Below are 17,338 nucleotides of genomic sequence, written 5' to 3' on the forward strand. Positions count from 1 at the left end.
TCACATATTCCTTTACAGCAACACAGACAGTCTAAGACAATGATAAACCTAGAATTTGATTCCAGATGATTTTAACATAGGAGAAAAAGGGAAGTGCAGAAGGGATTTTAAAATGTGCTAATATTCTTGTCTTTTTCTTTATGTGTGTATGTAATTGTGTGTGCGAAGATGGGATACAGATACTTATTAGCATTGGAGATTGATAGGCAAACGTATTTAAATCTATATGTTAAATTTTAATACTGAGAATCTTCTAGTTAAAGTTGGCAAATCAAACATAGTGAATCCACTCCATTTCAAATGTTTGTTATAATTACAGGAAAAAGATTTTTTAAGGCTATCATTCACAAAGTAAAGAGACTTGGAAAGGAGAAAACAGCAACAGTGTTCTGGGAGCTGGAAAGTGGAAGAATGAAGGGCTGCTGACCTAGCAAAACACCGAGAGCTGAATTTTAAATTGGCCTTGGGGAAAGTGAAGAAGCAAACCGATATATACTATGGAATCCCCACATCACAGGAATTGGCAGCATGAGGTGCCCGTGGAAGTGGGAGGTGGAGGTAGGGCCTAGCCCTGTGTGGTGGGTTGAAACCCTATTTATAAGTAGTAGGCTTTTAAATCCTAATCCAATCCATGTAGCTGCAGCTTGTCTCATCCCCTCCTGAAAGTGGCTGAAAATTTATTGTCTGAAGTATATAAACAGAGGGTCTGGACTGGGGCACACAGGCATATTTGAGGGTGGGGTACCACATTAAAGTAAGTGGTAAAGTGCAAGTCTACTGCCTGACTGTGAAGACCAGCAATCTTCACAGATTTCCCCATTTGCTGCCACAATTCCTAGCTAGAATTAAGCCCTCCTAGCATAGCACGAGCAGCCTAGAGAAGACCTAAAACAGATTGACACTGAGCCTTCCCCAGCAGGATGTACAACCAGAGTTCCCCTCACTGTGAAGCTCCATGCACAGAACACACACCCAGCTTTGGAGCCCCTCACTCTTAATTGTAAATGAATGATAAGAATCACTAGACATTTAAGGAAAGCCTCTAACATGAAAGCCAGAGACCAGGAAACAAACAAATAAACAAACTAAAAAAAGCAACTTGAAAAAAATAGAGACTATGCAGGAAAATGGAAACTTAAAAGAAACCAAACAGAACGCACTATTTTCATTAATGTCCTTGGAAAAAGAAGATATTTCATTTATGAAATAAAAGACAGGAAGCTATAAACGTAAGACATTTAAAAGACAAAAATAAAGTCTTTTGGAAATTAAAAATATGAAAACAAATTTCAAACACAGTAGAAGATTTAGAAGATAAAATTGAAAAAATTTCCTTGCAAGTACATAGCAAGAAGACCAAAGGATAGATTGAAGAGAAAATAAAAGAAATATAGAGAACTGAGTCAAGAGTTCAAGATATTTCAGAAAGTATGAATAAAGAAAGTAGAGAAGAGGATATTTTTAAATACTTCAAGAAAAATCTCCAAAGCTGAAGAACTGAGCTTTAAGATTAAGAGAATACATCAAATGCTCAACACAAATGGGTGAGAAAGTTCATAGCAGTGTGGTCAAAGCAAAGTCCTAAAAGCTGAGAGGGAAAGGCAGGAGGGGATGTTATGCTTTTATAAGTTTTCATATTTTTATAATCATGAGGAGAATAAATAAGATTTATATACCTTACCACATACAAATTAAAAATTTATATCCACAGTGAAACCATTCTTGAATGCCAAGCATAAGACGAGAAGAAAATAGTTGTAATATATACCACAAATAAAGGCTTTAATCTGTATTTTATGGAGAATATCTACAAGTCAATGGGAAAAAGGCATTCTAATAAGAAAATGGGAAAAGGCTAATGGAGAAAAACAAATGCTCTAAAAATAAATGAAAAGATGTTTAATCCTACTGGTAATCATAGAAATCTGAATTGAAATATGTAGAGTCTATTTTTTTTGCCTATCACATTGGAAAAACATTTAATTATTAGTAGTATCCATTGTGTCAGTGCAGGTTGGGAAGGGGTGTGAAGGAATGCATACTCTCATACACTAGGTAGGAAGGCAAATGGCTTTTAAAAAGGAATTTTGTAGTATTTATTAAAATAACAATGTGTAAACCCTTTGACTAATCAAATATCCTGAATATCTGTCCTACAGAATACTCCTGGATGAGCATTGAGAAATGTTTATAATTATGTTCAGTATAGATTGTTTACAATGATAAAACGTGAAGGAATCTAAGTGTCCACCAATAGGGGATGGGTTAACAATCATAGTTCATACCACAAAAGAGAACATACTCATGAAAAAGAGAGGGCCCAGTCTCTCTGTATTAACTTTCTACAAAACAGTACAAGGGAATTTCAGGCAGTACTAATAGATACTGAGGATCGCAGTGTTTTGCTGACGAGCATAGTTGCTATGGAAATTTAAGTAAACCAAAACTCCCTTGGGGAATGTATTAGTCTTAGCTGGCTTTCTTGAAGCAGTGAGTAGGTGGGAAGTAAGTGTTAGGCTAGGAAAGACTAGAAAAAGCAGGCATTTCAGGAGGGTAAAATAAGGCCATGGTTAGCGTGCAAAAAGCAGAAAAAGGGGAAACGAATCACTCATAGAGGATGGATGAGCGACCTTCTCACTGAGGGTGAAAGAGCATGGTAGAATCATGTCTTCAAAACAGAAGACAGTCTCTTGAAGAATGTTGCTGGCTTGCTGTTTTCTTTAGCTTAAGAGAATCAAGAGACTTAAGTAGAAGATTCTTTGGTGAATAGATGATTTGTACAGGAGAAAGGTCTTGATTGTGATTGTCTTCAAACCATGGAAGAAATCATGTGGAGGAGCTCTGTAATTTCCACCCCCCAAGATAAGTTAAAATAGGATAGTCTCTCCCTTACATAGTTCAGATCAGGTTTTGGAAACCTTAAAATGCAGTTTCCAAAGTTCTAACTTCTCACCTGCTGGCAGTAAGAGGGCAGCAAATCACATCCTGTATCCTGACTGTTCTCTGCAGGTGTGAGTGGGGAATTGGTGTGGCAGGGGGAAGTTTTGATGGTAAAACGAGCAAAGCTTTATCCCTTGCCCATCGATGCCCTGGAATGCAGTGAGGAGAGGACAGTGGTGATAAACCTGCTGTGCTGTGTATTTTGTTTGCTCCTCTAGATTCATTCCTCCCTTTTCAACCCTGCTTTCTTCTCTAGGAGGCTGACCTGTGTAGACTATATTAACTATATCAAGAACACCCTTGCCCTTGGACTTCTGGTTGGGTTAAGCCAATGGGGGCATCTGCAGGAGACTGGCAGAAGGACAGAGTGCAAGTCCCAGGTGTGACTCTTGGCTCCCTTCCAGCTAGGTCACCTCAGCCTGGCTGTGCCTCTTCAGTGTAGGTCCCTGCTTCTCACAAGGCATCCTGTCTCTGTACAAGAGCTTTTTCCTCTTGGCCATTTTACTATGTATTAGTATTTAGTATTTTTTTAAGTATTTTTTAGTATTTAGTATTTTTTTTTGGGGGGGAATCCTTTCTAAGTCATTTTTCATTTTATTTCTGCCATTTACTACATGTCTGACCTCGAACAAGCCTCTAAATTTTTCCGAACCTCAATTTCCTTATTTGTAAATAATAAAAAAAGGGTATCTATCTCATAGGGGTCTTGTGATAACTAAACGAGACAGTCTATGAAAGGGTTAGCATAGTGCTGGTGGTACTGGTATATACCATATGGCCTCTAAGTGCTTTTTGTCCTTACAGCTCTCTCTTGTCAGAATGATTCCAACTCTCCATTCCCTCCCCAATCATCACTCTAACAGTTTCAGAAGTGAATTCTGTCTTTTGTTAGTTTTCATTACCAGTTACTTCTAGTATTTATTATTACATTTTGATGTTTTGGAAAGCTTTTTGCCAGAAAGTGTCTTCTAATTTCACACTTCTAAATAATGCAGACAATGTAGACAGCCCTACTAAAAACCTGAAAGACATTGTCAGATTTGGGGGTCAGTTTTCAAACTCTCTACATTTTTAATGCTGGTGGGCAATATCAACAATGGTACAGGATGGGCAAGGCTACATTGCAGGGAGAAAACAGTTCACTACTATGCAGTGCCATCTGAATGCCACGCTTGGAGAAAGTACATTAGTATCTCATTGACACATTTAAATATCCTGGAAGGGAATACTGTATTTCTTTAGGGCAGAGATTGCCAATTGCCTTCCCAAATGCATTCTCTGCTTTCTCCTATGCCGGGCACTTTGCTACCTGGCAAAAGACTACCTTCTCTTAAATAATGAAGATTTGGCTACATGACTGAGTTTAGACAAAGAATTGCAATTTGGACATAGGTGTGCTGTGACTTCCAAAGTGTCTTTCAATGGAGAGAGCACATTATTTCTTTATTCCTTTCTTTTCTCAGTTTTTCAGCATGTAGACATGATGGCTGGTGCTCAAGGAGCCATCTTAAACCATGAGTTGGCAAACTAAGAATGGAGCAGGGCCACAGAGTGGAAGCCTGGGTCTCTGCCTGTGGATTCATCATCTCAGCCCTCAACTGCCAGCCTCAGGTTTCTACCATGTATTTAACTAACTGTTGTTATTCTCTCTCTCTTTTTTTTTTAAAATAATGCAGCCAGCCTAGTTCTAACTGATGCATTTAATCTGAGTTTTGGATATAGGAGGCAAGAGCTCAAGGATGTTTTCACTTTTCTTGGATCCCAATAAAGCACTTAGAGAGGTAGAATTACTATCCATTTCTGAAAGCAAGACATTCTTTTTCCAGTGATCCATGCTACTTTCATACTATTCTCTTTCTCACTGCTGCTCCCCACCCTCTCTCTTTCTTCTCTTCTTTTTATCAAAAGCTGAGGTTCAGGGCTCAATATTCAAAATCTGGTTCTTATTGGGATTTGGATTACAATTATTATTTGATGGAGTCTTTAATGTGTTTCCAAAGCCACTGCCTAATTGTAGAAATGAAGAGTCAAAAAATAATAGGATCCTCTGTAAGCAAGCATCCAATAAATTATTCAGAATTTTTAAAGGATGCTTTATCATCAGATGTTTATAGCTTTAAAGCCAGAAGAACAGAGGGAGAACACAAAAGAGGCCTTCAAGTCATCCTCTTTTTTGATGGTTAAATGTTACTACAAGTCTTGCTGTTGCTACCCTCACTGTCTGCTCTCCCTGGGATTTAATGGAGATGGCAATCTAATTATTACCAGAAGCCCACCCAGATAGTTAAATACAGTTCAATAATAGCTTTGTGAGGGAGGGAGCTGTGGCAACACAGAATGGGGAACAATTAGTCTTTTTCAGGCCAGAGAAAGACCAATATTATAACATAAATTCCTCAGCGATAACATTGCCATTTTCTCCAAGTCATCATAAAATAAACTAGAATTAGGAAAACAGGGAGATGTGTGGAATGCTGTCACACAAAAGGCCCACAGATGAGTGTGGATCAAGCTAATTTTCAATGCATAACCACATGATTTGAATACCAAATTAAGCAAAAATAAAACACAACCCCCACACCCAACCTCCCCAAACCTCACCTAAATAACCATTTCATAGATATTTGAGATGTAAAACTACTGAGATTTTCTTTTTTAAGAGCTCAAGGGAAGTGTCTATAGCTTGAAAAACAAATATTTATAAATTATAAAAGCATTGTCTCTGTTTGTGAATCTGTAAAATCTCTGCATCTTGACAATTAGGAGGCAGAAAATGTTATACATAAGCACTTCCTTGTGAGCTGGAAGGAAAATGACTGGTGAGATGCTTCCAAATTTGTTACTTTCGGTGTATGGGAAGGGAGGAGGTAAAAGCATTTTGAGAAAATTGGGAAGCTTGAAATTTTCAAGTAGTGTTTGATTTGTCAGTAGAGAATCTGCCCTGGTACCTTATCAATCTATGAAGATCACTTTTTTATGTTCTCAGCCTGATGGCATATGTCTCTTCATTCATCCTACACCATTATCCATTTTTCCTCCATCCGTTTTTGTAATTTCCTGTTAATGTGCCCCAACCAAAAGGTTGCAGAGTGGGCCGGGCGCGGTGGCTCACGCCTGTAATCCCAGCACTTTGGGAGGCTGAGGCGGGCGGATCACGAGGTCAGGAGATCGAGACCATCTTGGCTAACAAGGTGAAACCCCATCTCTACTAAAAATACAAAAATTGGCCGAGTGTGGTGGCGGGCGCCTGTAGTCCCAGTTACTCAGGAGGCTGAGACGGGAGAATGGCCTGAACCCGGGAGGCGGAGCTTGCAGTGAGCCGAGTTCGCGCCACTGCACTCCAGCCTGGGCGACAGAGGGAGACTCCGTCTCAAAAAAAAAAAAAGAAAAAAAAGAAAAAGGTTGCAGAGTGTAGTGGTTGAGAGATGGATACTGGAATTACCTTTCTGAGTTCAAAACCTGGCTTCCCTAGCAAGTGATCTTGGGCAAAGTACTTTCTGTATCAGTCTTTCTGCCTGTGAAATGGAGACAATGCAATTCATGTGTGGTTATGAGGATGAAATGAGTTATTGTTTTGTTCAGTGCCTAGAACAGTGTGTGGCAAACAGTAGGTGCCATATAAGTGTTTGTTAAATGTCTTAGAAAACAACTATTGTGAGCTTCGGAGCTATAAATTGCCTACTCAAAATGGATAAACGAATGGATGGTATTACCATGTCTCCAATTGAGGCAAAAGGAGCGTATGTGTGTGTATGCGGGGGGTGGGGATTTGGTGGCATCGGGAATTGTGAGGGATGAATGCCCAAGAACCTCTGTTTTGCATGCTCTTACCAGTATTTTGGTCGTGGAATCACTAGCACTGAGGCTCTCACAAAGGGTCCCCTGGACTTTGATGTCACTGTTGAGTCAGGAAGCACACAGAGGAGGGAGGAGGCAAAATCTTCCCTAAGCAGTTACAGAATGAATTGATGTGGGCAGACGTGGGTCTTGCTTTGCTGAGGCTGGGTGGTCAGAGCAGAAGTGTTAAAGACACAATGAGAGGCAGCTTCAAAAGCCGTGGCCTTGCCAACAAGTGCTGGTAAACAAACGTGGTTGCCAGACCGATGCAGTTGGCAGCATCCCACAGTGGGGTGGTCCCCGATATGCTGGCTGACCTGAAGCCAGGTCCTGACAGGTGGTGGGCAGACGCTGCCCAACTTTTCTGATCAGGACTAGAGAATACCCCCAGTGAAGGCTCTGTATGGAAGGACCAATCCTCCAGCAGTGGCTGCATGATAAATAGCATGTATTTGGAAAACAGAAGGAATATGGGCCCTCTGCTGTGGATTCTCTGACCTTCAATTTCCTCATGTGTAAATGAGAATTAATAATTTCCACTTCATAAGTTTGTCATAAGAAAAAAAGTGAGTATAAAAGTACTTTGTAACTAGAAGTATATATTACTGATATTGGTTATGATTGTGTAGATGATAGAACCAGTTTTGTGGTTTGTTTATAATGCAGAAATGACATGCTTTATATAGTAGAGATATTCCTGAAAAGGTATGCAAATATTTTCTCACTTACCAGATCCCAGGCCCTTTAAGAGAAAAGACCATGATGTATTAATTTCAGTAGTCTCCCTGTGTTCTTTTGTTCCAACACAATGCTTTTCTCTTAAAAGATATGGAACAAATACAGCATCTTGCTCCGCAAAGAAATTGTATAGGAAAGAATCATTGTCTCATCTTTAAAATCATGGAGATATTTTATTTAAATAGCTTCCTGCATTTTCTGGGAATATTATCTTTTTTAGAAAGCACCATATTTACACTATGTACTATAGGACTCCTCTAATAAGTTATCTAACTACTCAATCTTGATAAACCTAAGATGGATTCAAGTTCATATAAAATTAATGGTAAATTATTTTGAGTAGCTATTCACTCTGTAAATTAAAAAAATTTTCTATGATTTCTTTAATAAAATAAGATTAGAGAATAGAACAAGGCTCAGAAATTTTTATGACTTTAAGGAGAAACATCTGCTATATCTTGTGTTTCTTTTTAAAAATATGGAAGCAGAGTGAAGCTGTCATCTATGAAAGATAAATCACTGGAAAGAACTCCAAAGGTTTAGAACTATTTGGCAAAAAGATTTATGAAATCTAAAAGCTAGGAAGAAAGAACAGAATGAATCAATCAAACATCCTCTTTGTTGTATGGAGTGAAGCTTGTTTGGAGTTTTTTATGGGCTGGCTGTTATTTTTAATTAATTAACTAATAGTTAAACATGTTTTGAAATATGTCTACATTGTAGAATGGCTAAATCAAGATAATTAAAATATTCATTACGTTATATACTTAGTTATTTGTGGTGAGAACACTTAAAATCTACTCTCTATGCAATTTTCAAGCATATAATTCATGGTTATTAACTAAGTCACCATGATGTGCAATACATCTTCTGAACTTATTCCTTCTGTGTAACTGAAATTTCATATGGTTTGACCAACATCTCCCCAAACCTCCTTGACTCCCCCAGCCCTGGTAGCCACCATTCTACTCTCTGCTTCAGTGAGTTTGGCTTTCTAGATTCCACATATAAATAAGTGAGATGTGAACGAACTTCGAAGTACAAACGATGACATGAGTCCATCCTCATTTTGTGAGGAAGAGGAGTTTTAGAAGTAAAAATGTGCTGGGCCACTGACAGGAAAGTAGTAAATACACCACTGAGGTTGAGAAGATATGAAAAGGAAAGCTGAAGGTGTCTTTGGTGGGCTTCACCATTTTGTGAAATGGACACTGGATCTGGTCCATTTTCGCTCCATGTTCCAGCAGACAGAAGCAGGGCTGATGACTTTTATGTCTCAGCTACCAACACTGTGTTCTTTGATCTCCTTCAACCTTCGCAGAGCAAATCACTGCTTCAGAGGCTATCTGAACCTACACCTTGTGCCAGGGCACAGGTTGGTACAGTTATAAATTGCTTCTAATTGTCATGGTCCAGCTCTTTTTCCACTCCAATCTTTTCTAGAATGTTTTTTTACCAGTCAGTTACAAGTTTGTGCTGAGGATCTGAGTCCTTGCTCTTCCACATTGGTAAGTTTAAATCGCTATTGCCAAATAAGGGAAGAATATTGATTTTTAAGCTAGGTTGACTTTTGCATCATTTATGTTTATTTGTTTCCTTTGCATGGACTAAGTTAAAAGACTTAACTATGCATTTTGTATTTAGAAAACAGGTTTTTTTTTTTCACAAACTAATAACCCCTGATTAGCTCTGGTAATTATCCTAAAGTTTGGTCTCATTATAACCAGCATTTTGCCATGAGTTTGCCCTCTAGGAATTTGGAAAGATGTATGATGAATTCTGTTTTCAAATCACTCCAGCTTTGGTGTCTTACAATTCTTCAATTAAGAATAGAACAAATGTTTCTAATTAAGAATAAAATAGAATTATATATTTTCTTTTCTCTTGTACAGAAAAAAATTATGAGACTTTGGCCTTGAAAGTCTCATAGTGAGTGCCTGTCATGTTATAACAGGGCAAAAAGTAAGTATAATATTCAAACCTTACTAACCTGTAAATTGGGGGAGAAAAACCAATGTGAATTAGAAGAAAAGACTGAATCATAATATATTGTAAATAAATGAAATGATTTCACCTTTTAAAGTACATGGACTGAAGATTTATTTAATTATAGTGATGATGATGATGGTAATACAATTATAATGGCTAACACATATATAGTGTTTCCTATGTTCCAGGCACTGTTCTGGCAGCTTTACATTTATTAAGTTATTCGATCCTCACAACAACTCCATGAAGTAGATAATAATATCTCCATATTACAGATCAGAAAAATGGCGCACAGAGAGGGGAAGTAACTTGCTCAAGAGATTGAGTAATTTTGCACAGTGATGAGTGGTATTTAGTTACCTTACTTTTAATGAATTAATTCTAACTTTAAATGAGCATTTGAAATGCTTCACTTTGTTGGTGAAATGAAATAAATAGGCATTTTCAAGATCAAATCTAGCTTGGGGGGTTCAGTGAGTGAAAGTTTCTCAGGCTATGAGGCATTCCAAATGAATGAATATTTCCCAGTAAACAAATGCGGGAAACACCGTTCTTTTAAAACTCCAAACAAGTAAATTTGTAATGCTGAAATTTAGTGAGATTGATACATTGTTATTTACCATTCTGCTCCCATAAATTTCAGATATAAAGCAATGCCTGAGCATGGACTGTATAAATTATTTTTGGAACACTAGAAGAGGCACTAGTCATAAAAAAATTTAACATACAATTTTTAAATAATACATTGTTCAGACTTAGTTTGTTCTCTCTGTAATTCTATTTGGTAGCAGAAACCTTATTCTTAGTTTTCTACTTCACAGAATTATAGCAAATGCCAACTATTTCACTACATTTGACTCTTTTCTAGAAGAAACACAGAAGTACTGAAAGTATCAATATGTTACCACATATTCAGGGTCTGTGATTAGCCAAAATATAATAGAAGGAATTTAAGTATAGGGTCATAGGTGCCTTGAAACATAATTCAAGATAATTCCAAGCCCATTTATATCTAGTTCAAGTTTATATATAGAAAATTTAATATATTATGAATATGCCTTCAATTATTATATTCACAATTGTTTATTTGAGAACATGCAGAAAACTTGGTTAGTATGAGATTTCAGTGAAATTATATACTGTTGTATAACTGTGAATCATGACATGAACAAAAGCTACAACCCTCTGTACTCCTGATAGCTATTTTATAATCTCTTATGTTATACTTGTCAACTGAAGCCTAGGTAAGAGTTAGTGTGACCTTGTGCACGTACAATGGCCTTGGGCAGTTAACACAGCCCATCTCATCAGATGGTTGTGAGGTTCTAAGTATTTATTACATAGCAGGAATCATCGTTAATCAATTAATCACCACCCCATCATTTAATTTATGGATTAGGAACGAATATCATCCCCTCTTGATAAATGAGACAATAGAAGTCCAGAGAGTTTAGGTAATTTGGTAAGCAATTATTTGAGTCTGAATGCAGGCAGGCTCTGGGCTCCAGAGCTCATGTCCTTCATGGTTAAGATGATGAGGATCAAGTGGACCACAGATAAAAGCCTTTGAAAAGCACATTGTGTATTGTGCGTGAGTGTTAGTTAGACACGAGTCATATTAAAGATACTCGTGATAACAGTGAGAAGATTAACAGTGAACATTTTGAAGTTTCTTAAATTTGTTTTAAGACTTTCATTTTTTAATGATAATAAGTGCAGCTCTTAGCACTGCACATCAATAAGTAAAAGATGTACCAATTGCTGTGGGTTCCCCAGGAAACAGGCTGATATGATTTGGCTCTGTGTCCCCACCAAATTCTCGTGTTGAATTGTAACTCCTGGTGTTGGAGGAGGGGCCCGGTGCGAGGTGATTTAATCACGGGGGCGGACTTCCCCTTTGCTGTTACCGTGATAGTGTTCTCACGAGATCTGGTTGTTTTAAAGTACGTAGCACCTCCCCCTTCTCTCCGTTTTCCTCCTTCCTGCCATGTTGAATGTGTCAGCCTCTCCTTCACCTTCCACTCTGATTGTAAGTTTCCCCAGGCATCCTTCCTGTACAGCCTGTGGAACTGAGAGTCAATTGAACCTCTTTTCTTTATAAATTACCCAGGTAGTTCTTTATAGCAGTGTGAGAACAGACTAATACATAGGCTCTGAGAGGGAGAGGTTTATTGGAAGCTCTCTCAGGAGATACACCTGTGAAGAAGCGAGGACGACAGGACTAGGCAGAGCGAAGTGCTGATACACAAAGTGGTTGCACCTGAGGTCTTACCCAATTGTACTGGGAGCTGGGATGCCATTTCAGAGTTTCCCACCCCAACGTTTAGCCCAGGGGGACTTTATGTTACTACTTAGCCACTCATTAGTCATGGGCTGCTCCCCTGGAGGGGAAGTAACCATGAGTGGGACAGTTCCCTGCGAGGGGAGGAAATTCCCAGTGAGGGATGCAGCTGTGAACCATCAGCAGCTAGTATTCTCAGCAGCTGCAAGAAGAATGCTCGAGTCCTGAAGATCTGGGTGAGACACCACAGTATCCACTATACCACCTCTTACAAAAGGTGAAAAAAGCCCCAAACACATAATTAACTAAAAGTAAAAATACAAATGGCAAAGAAAACTATGAAAAACATAGTGTTTATTAACAAGAAAATGTCAATTACAACAATTTTCTCCTATCAATTGGCGTAGATGAAAAAATAGCTAATGAACTATAGTGAGAGTACCCCAAGGTAGGCCTAATTTTTATTAAATAATTCTTTTAGAAATAATTTCAAACTTAAAAGAGTAGCAGGTATAGTACAAAGAACCCTTACATCCCTTCACCCAGATTCTTTATGTATTAACATTTCATCACATTTGTGTAAATACTCTGTGTGTATGTACATTTATACTTACCTATATCATCTGTATCTCTATTGATTGCCCCTTGTATACAGAGTTTTTATTTATTAAACTAAGATGATAAAAGCAGTGTCTTGAAATTCAGATCTGAGTTTGAGTCCCAGTCACTCATTTTCTGTGGGACCTTGAGCAAGATAGATTTTCTTATGATCTCTGTTTCTTCAGTTGTAAAATGGAGATAACTCCTGTGTTCTTTTTTCTTGTTGTTCAAATTAGATCCTCCATACAGAACTCAGCACTGGCTAAGATTTCAGTAAATGTTAGCTGCTGTCATTGCTGTCTTCATTATTCTTAGCTCCTTGAAAGCTGGGACTACACCTCGTGCATTGCTGTGAATCCTCAGAGCTTAGCACTGCATCTTTCTGGGTCCCCAGGAAATGTTTATGGATCAATTTGCTTTTTTTACTCAACATATTATAAGATCAGGCCCATGAGGGTGTTGCCAGGGGCTCCTTTGGAAGGCTGTCCCTTGGACTTCAGTAGGAGAGGCTGTAGAGAATGAAAGCAGCACTCAGAAGTGGAAACTTTGTTAATGACTGTGCTCCAGCGAAAATAGGCGATTCATTGGTTGACCAAATAAAAAGAGTATTATTCAAGAAATTCCCTTCTCTCCCTTGCTCTTTGAAGCTCCTCATGAATGTTTTGCCTATGTATATTGTCTGCCATACAGTATTTTGGAACGACAACAATAAAAACTGGTAAGACCAAGAAGAGGAGAAAATTTCGTCATTCTCAGTCCTTAGAGTCCCTTAAAGGAAGTATTTACATCTAAAGAAATGCTTGTGCCTCTGCCTGTCTCCTTCAGCTGGCTGCTCTCCTCTACATTCGGTGGCCTTGGGAACACCAAAGATGTGGCCTTGGCAACACTTGCACATCGAGGTCAAGAGGCCAGGAAGGTGACGGTGGATGGTGGCAGGGGTGAAGTGATGTATATAGGAGGGGAGGGCTTTTGTTCAGTGAATATGGTATGAGGTAAGCAGGAGCCTAGATAGGTTTCACATCACTTTTTGTTGGCTGGCTGTATATATCCAATGAATTAGCCTTTTTGTTAACAGTAACAGGCGACCAACTTCAAGCAGACAAAGCCACAGGGAGAGTTACTGGTACAGTTTGCAGATTCCAAGGAAAGGCTACACCCAGGGCAGCTCCTGGGACCTCTGAGGGTTGGAGCCTACCTGGAGTCTCCCTTTCATCCCTGTTTCTCTCTGAGGCTTGACCTCATGCTCCCAGTTTCTTATGGAAAAGGGCATAACTGCTGGCAACGTGCATCATGACCTTACATAACATGACTGCTGGCAACGTGCATCATGTCCTTACAGCTAGCATCAAAGAAGACAGAAATTATTCTCTTCCCCAAAACTGTCTGAAAAATCATGGGGAAAGGACCCTGGCCTGGCTGGGATTATGCATCTGCCCCTGATATGAAGCCCTGAGGCTGGAGTTGGGGAGGCTGTGATGAACTCAGCCCACCTGTGTTCAAAAGGACAGGGTTTGTATCCAGGCAAAGGTGAGATGTCAGGAAGCCAGCTCAGTTTGCAGAGTGTTACCTACTTCTGCAGAGAAAGCTGGGGACTTGCTGTCATTTCCCTTGTATCACTTCTGTTACTCCTGTAGTATTTTGGCCCTGCCTTCCTCAGAGAGGTGAATTCTTTGTAATTTTGTCCCAGCCTTTAAAACCAGATACCCATCCATTCCCCTGGACAAGGTCCAATCTCAATGAGCCTTGGCCTTTCTAACCTCACGGCAAATGTCTTTGCCCATTTGCCTGCCTTTCTGACCTAATTTTAACACCCCCATTCTATTCCAGAGCATCCTGCCTTCTAACTCCTTTGAAGTTTACTCAAAATTCTCATCCTGAACTGGACTTTTGGACTCAACAACAAAAGGTAGCTTCTTCTGGGACTTTGGCCTTCAGAGTTCTTTAGGGTCTGGTTTGGGATCCCTTCATGGTGCTGTTGGTCTGCACCCTCCTGGCTTAGCTCTAGCCCAGGGTTACCACACTGGCACTGGTAGTGTTCTGAGAGTGAGGACCAGGGAGATCTGAACTTGAGTGACAGGGTGTAAGGTGTCAGTCACTGAGTGGTATTCCTTGCTCTGCTGTGGAAGGACTCGGCAGAGAGGATCCATGCATGGGTGCACTGAATTCCACATTTTTTCCTGAGGAGGCTCTCTGTGAAGGCCATAAGAGGCATCATCTATAACTCCCCCACTCAGGTGTACAGATGCTACCATGCTAAAGTTCAAAGGCCAAAGTGGAATCTCTTCATTCACATCCCAAACCCTTAATTGAAAGAGATATTGCTCTTAATTTTTCTTAAATGTGCCCAGCATTGCCAGTTCTGGCATAAGGGGAACACATAACTATGAAGTTGGAGGGTCCTGCCATTGGTTTCCTGTGATTTAGGACCCTCTAGGGGATATGTATTTTTCTAACTTAATTATTTTAATATCCTTTGTATTCTTATTCACTGAAGAAATAGATTCCAACCAAAGATGGAAGGGTACTAGTAGAACCAAGAATACCCAGCAATAATAGTTGCTATGTGCCGAGTGCATACCATGTACTAAGTGCGTTTATGTGTTTTTTCCCCATTTATTATTTATTTTTAGATTCAGGGGGTGGATGTGTGGGTTTGTTACATGGGGATATTTTGTAAGGCTGAGGTTTGGGCTTCTAATGATCCTGTTGCACAAGCGGTGAACATAGTACCCAATAGGTAGTTGTTCAACCCTTCCTCCCCTGCTTTGGAATCCCCAGTGTTTGTTGTTCTCAACTTTGTGTCTATGTCTACCTAATGTTAAGTTCCCACTTATAAGACATAATATGTATTATTTGGTTTTCTGTGTCTGCATCAATTCACTTAGGATAATGGCCTCCAGTTGCATGCATGTTACTGCAAAGGACACAGTTTTGTTCTTTTTTATGGCTGCATAGTATTCTGTGGTGTGTATGTAGCATACTCTCTCTATCCAATCTACCACTGATGGGCACCTCGGTTGATTCCACATCTTTTCTATTGTGAATCATGTGTGATGAACATGTGAGTGCATGTGTCTTTTTGGTAGAACTATTTGTTTTCCTATGGATATATACCCAGGAATATATGGGATTGCTGGGTCAACTGGTAGTTCTATTTTTAGTTCTTTGAGACATCTCCAAACCACTTTTCACAGGGACTGAACTAATTTGCATTCCCACCAATAGTGTCAACTATTGTTTGTTGTGTGTTTCTTTTTCTCTGCAACCTCACCAACATCTGTTATTTTCTGACTTTTTAATAAAGCCATTCTAATTGGTGTGAGATGGTATCTCATTGTGGTTTTGATTTGCATCTCTCTGATGATTAATGATGTTGAAACTTTTTCTCCTGTGTTTGTTGGATGCTTATATGTCTTCTTTTGAGAACTGTCTGTTCATGTTGTTTGCCATTTAGGGAATTTTTAGATAGGTCCCCAATTTTATATATATTTTTATTTCCTGTATTTTTTTCCAGTTAACAGATATTTAATAAATTATTTCTGTTTGCCAATAGTCTGTGTTAGGTATTCTCGGAAATGAAAAAGGAAAACACAGTGTCTACCTTTGAGAGCCTTGGAGTCTCATTGGGGAGATAGTTAACAAACAAAAATATCTGACACTATAATGGCAAGTGCTGTAAAGAAAAGAAGCATATAAGGATCTCAGTGCATAGCAGGTATTGGGAAGGGAGTCATTATAAACTGAGGTGATAGGGTGTATTAGTGTCTTGTGGCTGCTGTAACAAATTGTTGCAAACTTAGTGGCTTAACACAACACAAGTTTATTCTCTTATAGTTCTGGAGGCCAGAAGTCTACAATTAAGGTTTTGGCAGAGCTGCATTCCTTCTAGTGACTCTCGGAAGAATCAATTTATTTATCTTTTCCAGCTTCTGTAGGTTTTCTGCATTCCTTTTTTTTTTTCTTTTTGCTCATGGCCCCCTTCCGGCTAGCAATTGCAACACTCTGCCCTCTACTTCTAGCAGCCATGCATCCCCATTTCTAACTCTCCTGCCTCCCTCTTTCACTTATAAGGACCCTTGTGATTACATTTGGCCTACCCAGATAATCGAGCAAAATCTCCCAGTTAAGGTTCCTTAATTTAATAACATCTGTAAATTCTCTTTTGCCCTGTAAGGTAACATATTCATAGGTTCTGAGGATTAAGACTTGAGCATCTTTGGTGATGGGGCATTATTTTGCCTACTACAGAAGGCTAGTTTGTCTTGAAGTTTTCTTCTAACTTGAAAATTCCACGGGTTGATTGGAGCCATGTCAGCATGATTTGTCTCATTTAATCACTAGCCCTGACTGTGTACTCTCATTGTGTCTCACTGTGCTCAATGAAGAGACAACTTTGTGGAGTTCCAATTCCTTCTGTGAATCTTGACCTTTGCGCTGCTACAGAAGGAGTCATGTGGAGGAATTACAATATTTAATACCAAGGATTTCGAAACCCAAGCTGTTTTTGTGATAAACAACAGTCACTAAAGGACATCTTTTGTCTCCTGCTCAGTCACAACTCAAACCCTGAGCTGACAAGCTTACTCTTTCCTCTTAGATCGTGGCCAGTCTGTATCACACGGGGCTTGGAAAGTAGTCATAAGAGAACACACTTTCATTACTGTGGCCTGAAAAGTGCAGGTAGGGTATGAAAAATCAAAGGGATGGAACATAGAGATGGGCAAAGTATGTCTGCTGGAAATGGAGTGGGAACTGAGTGAGGATTATGGGATTCTTCACCGTTTGTGCAAATAAGCAGAGGCAGTGGAGGTCCAGATAGTACTAAACAACAGATATTTAGAAAGTCACTGACTTGCAGCTTTGAAATAAAGTCTTTGTTTTTATAATGCTTTAACTTTCACAATGACCTATTGCTTTGGCTACTAAAAGTTAGATAGTTTTCCCTGAGCCAAA

The 17,338-nt window shown here is 39.1% G+C and overlaps 1 long non-coding RNA gene across 1 annotated transcript in view, besides 1 other annotated feature; it reads left to right on the forward strand.

Moving 5' to 3' along the window:
• The first annotated feature begins 5,718 nt into the window (after positions 1-5,718).
• Positions 5,719-17,338, forward strand: part of LNCBRM (lncRNA SMARCA2 (BRM) associated) — a 47,089-nt gene continuing 35,469 nt past the window's right edge. Inside the window, exons 1-4 of the long non-coding RNA NR_120607.1 lie at positions 5,719-5,759; positions 9,408-9,477; positions 13,211-13,301; positions 14,213-14,291. This is a non-coding gene — a long non-coding RNA (lncRNA SMARCA2 (BRM) associated). The remainder of the gene's footprint in view (positions 5,760-9,407; positions 9,478-13,210; positions 13,302-14,212; positions 14,292-17,338) is intronic.
• Positions 13,405-13,464: a silencer, noted in NCBI's record as "silent region_16032". NCBI's record gives its function as "represses an Ori minimal core promoter by ATAC-STARR-seq in GM12878 lymphoblastoid cells {active_cell/tissue: GM12878}" and the evidence as "EXISTENCE:reporter gene assay evidence [ECO:0000049][PMID:35858748]".

The sequence above is a fragment of the Homo sapiens genome, chromosome 5 (genome assembly GCF_000001405.40).
Source record: "Homo sapiens chromosome 5, GRCh38.p14 Primary Assembly".
Taxonomy (NCBI): Eukaryota; Metazoa; Chordata; class Mammalia; order Primates; family Hominidae; genus Homo; species Homo sapiens.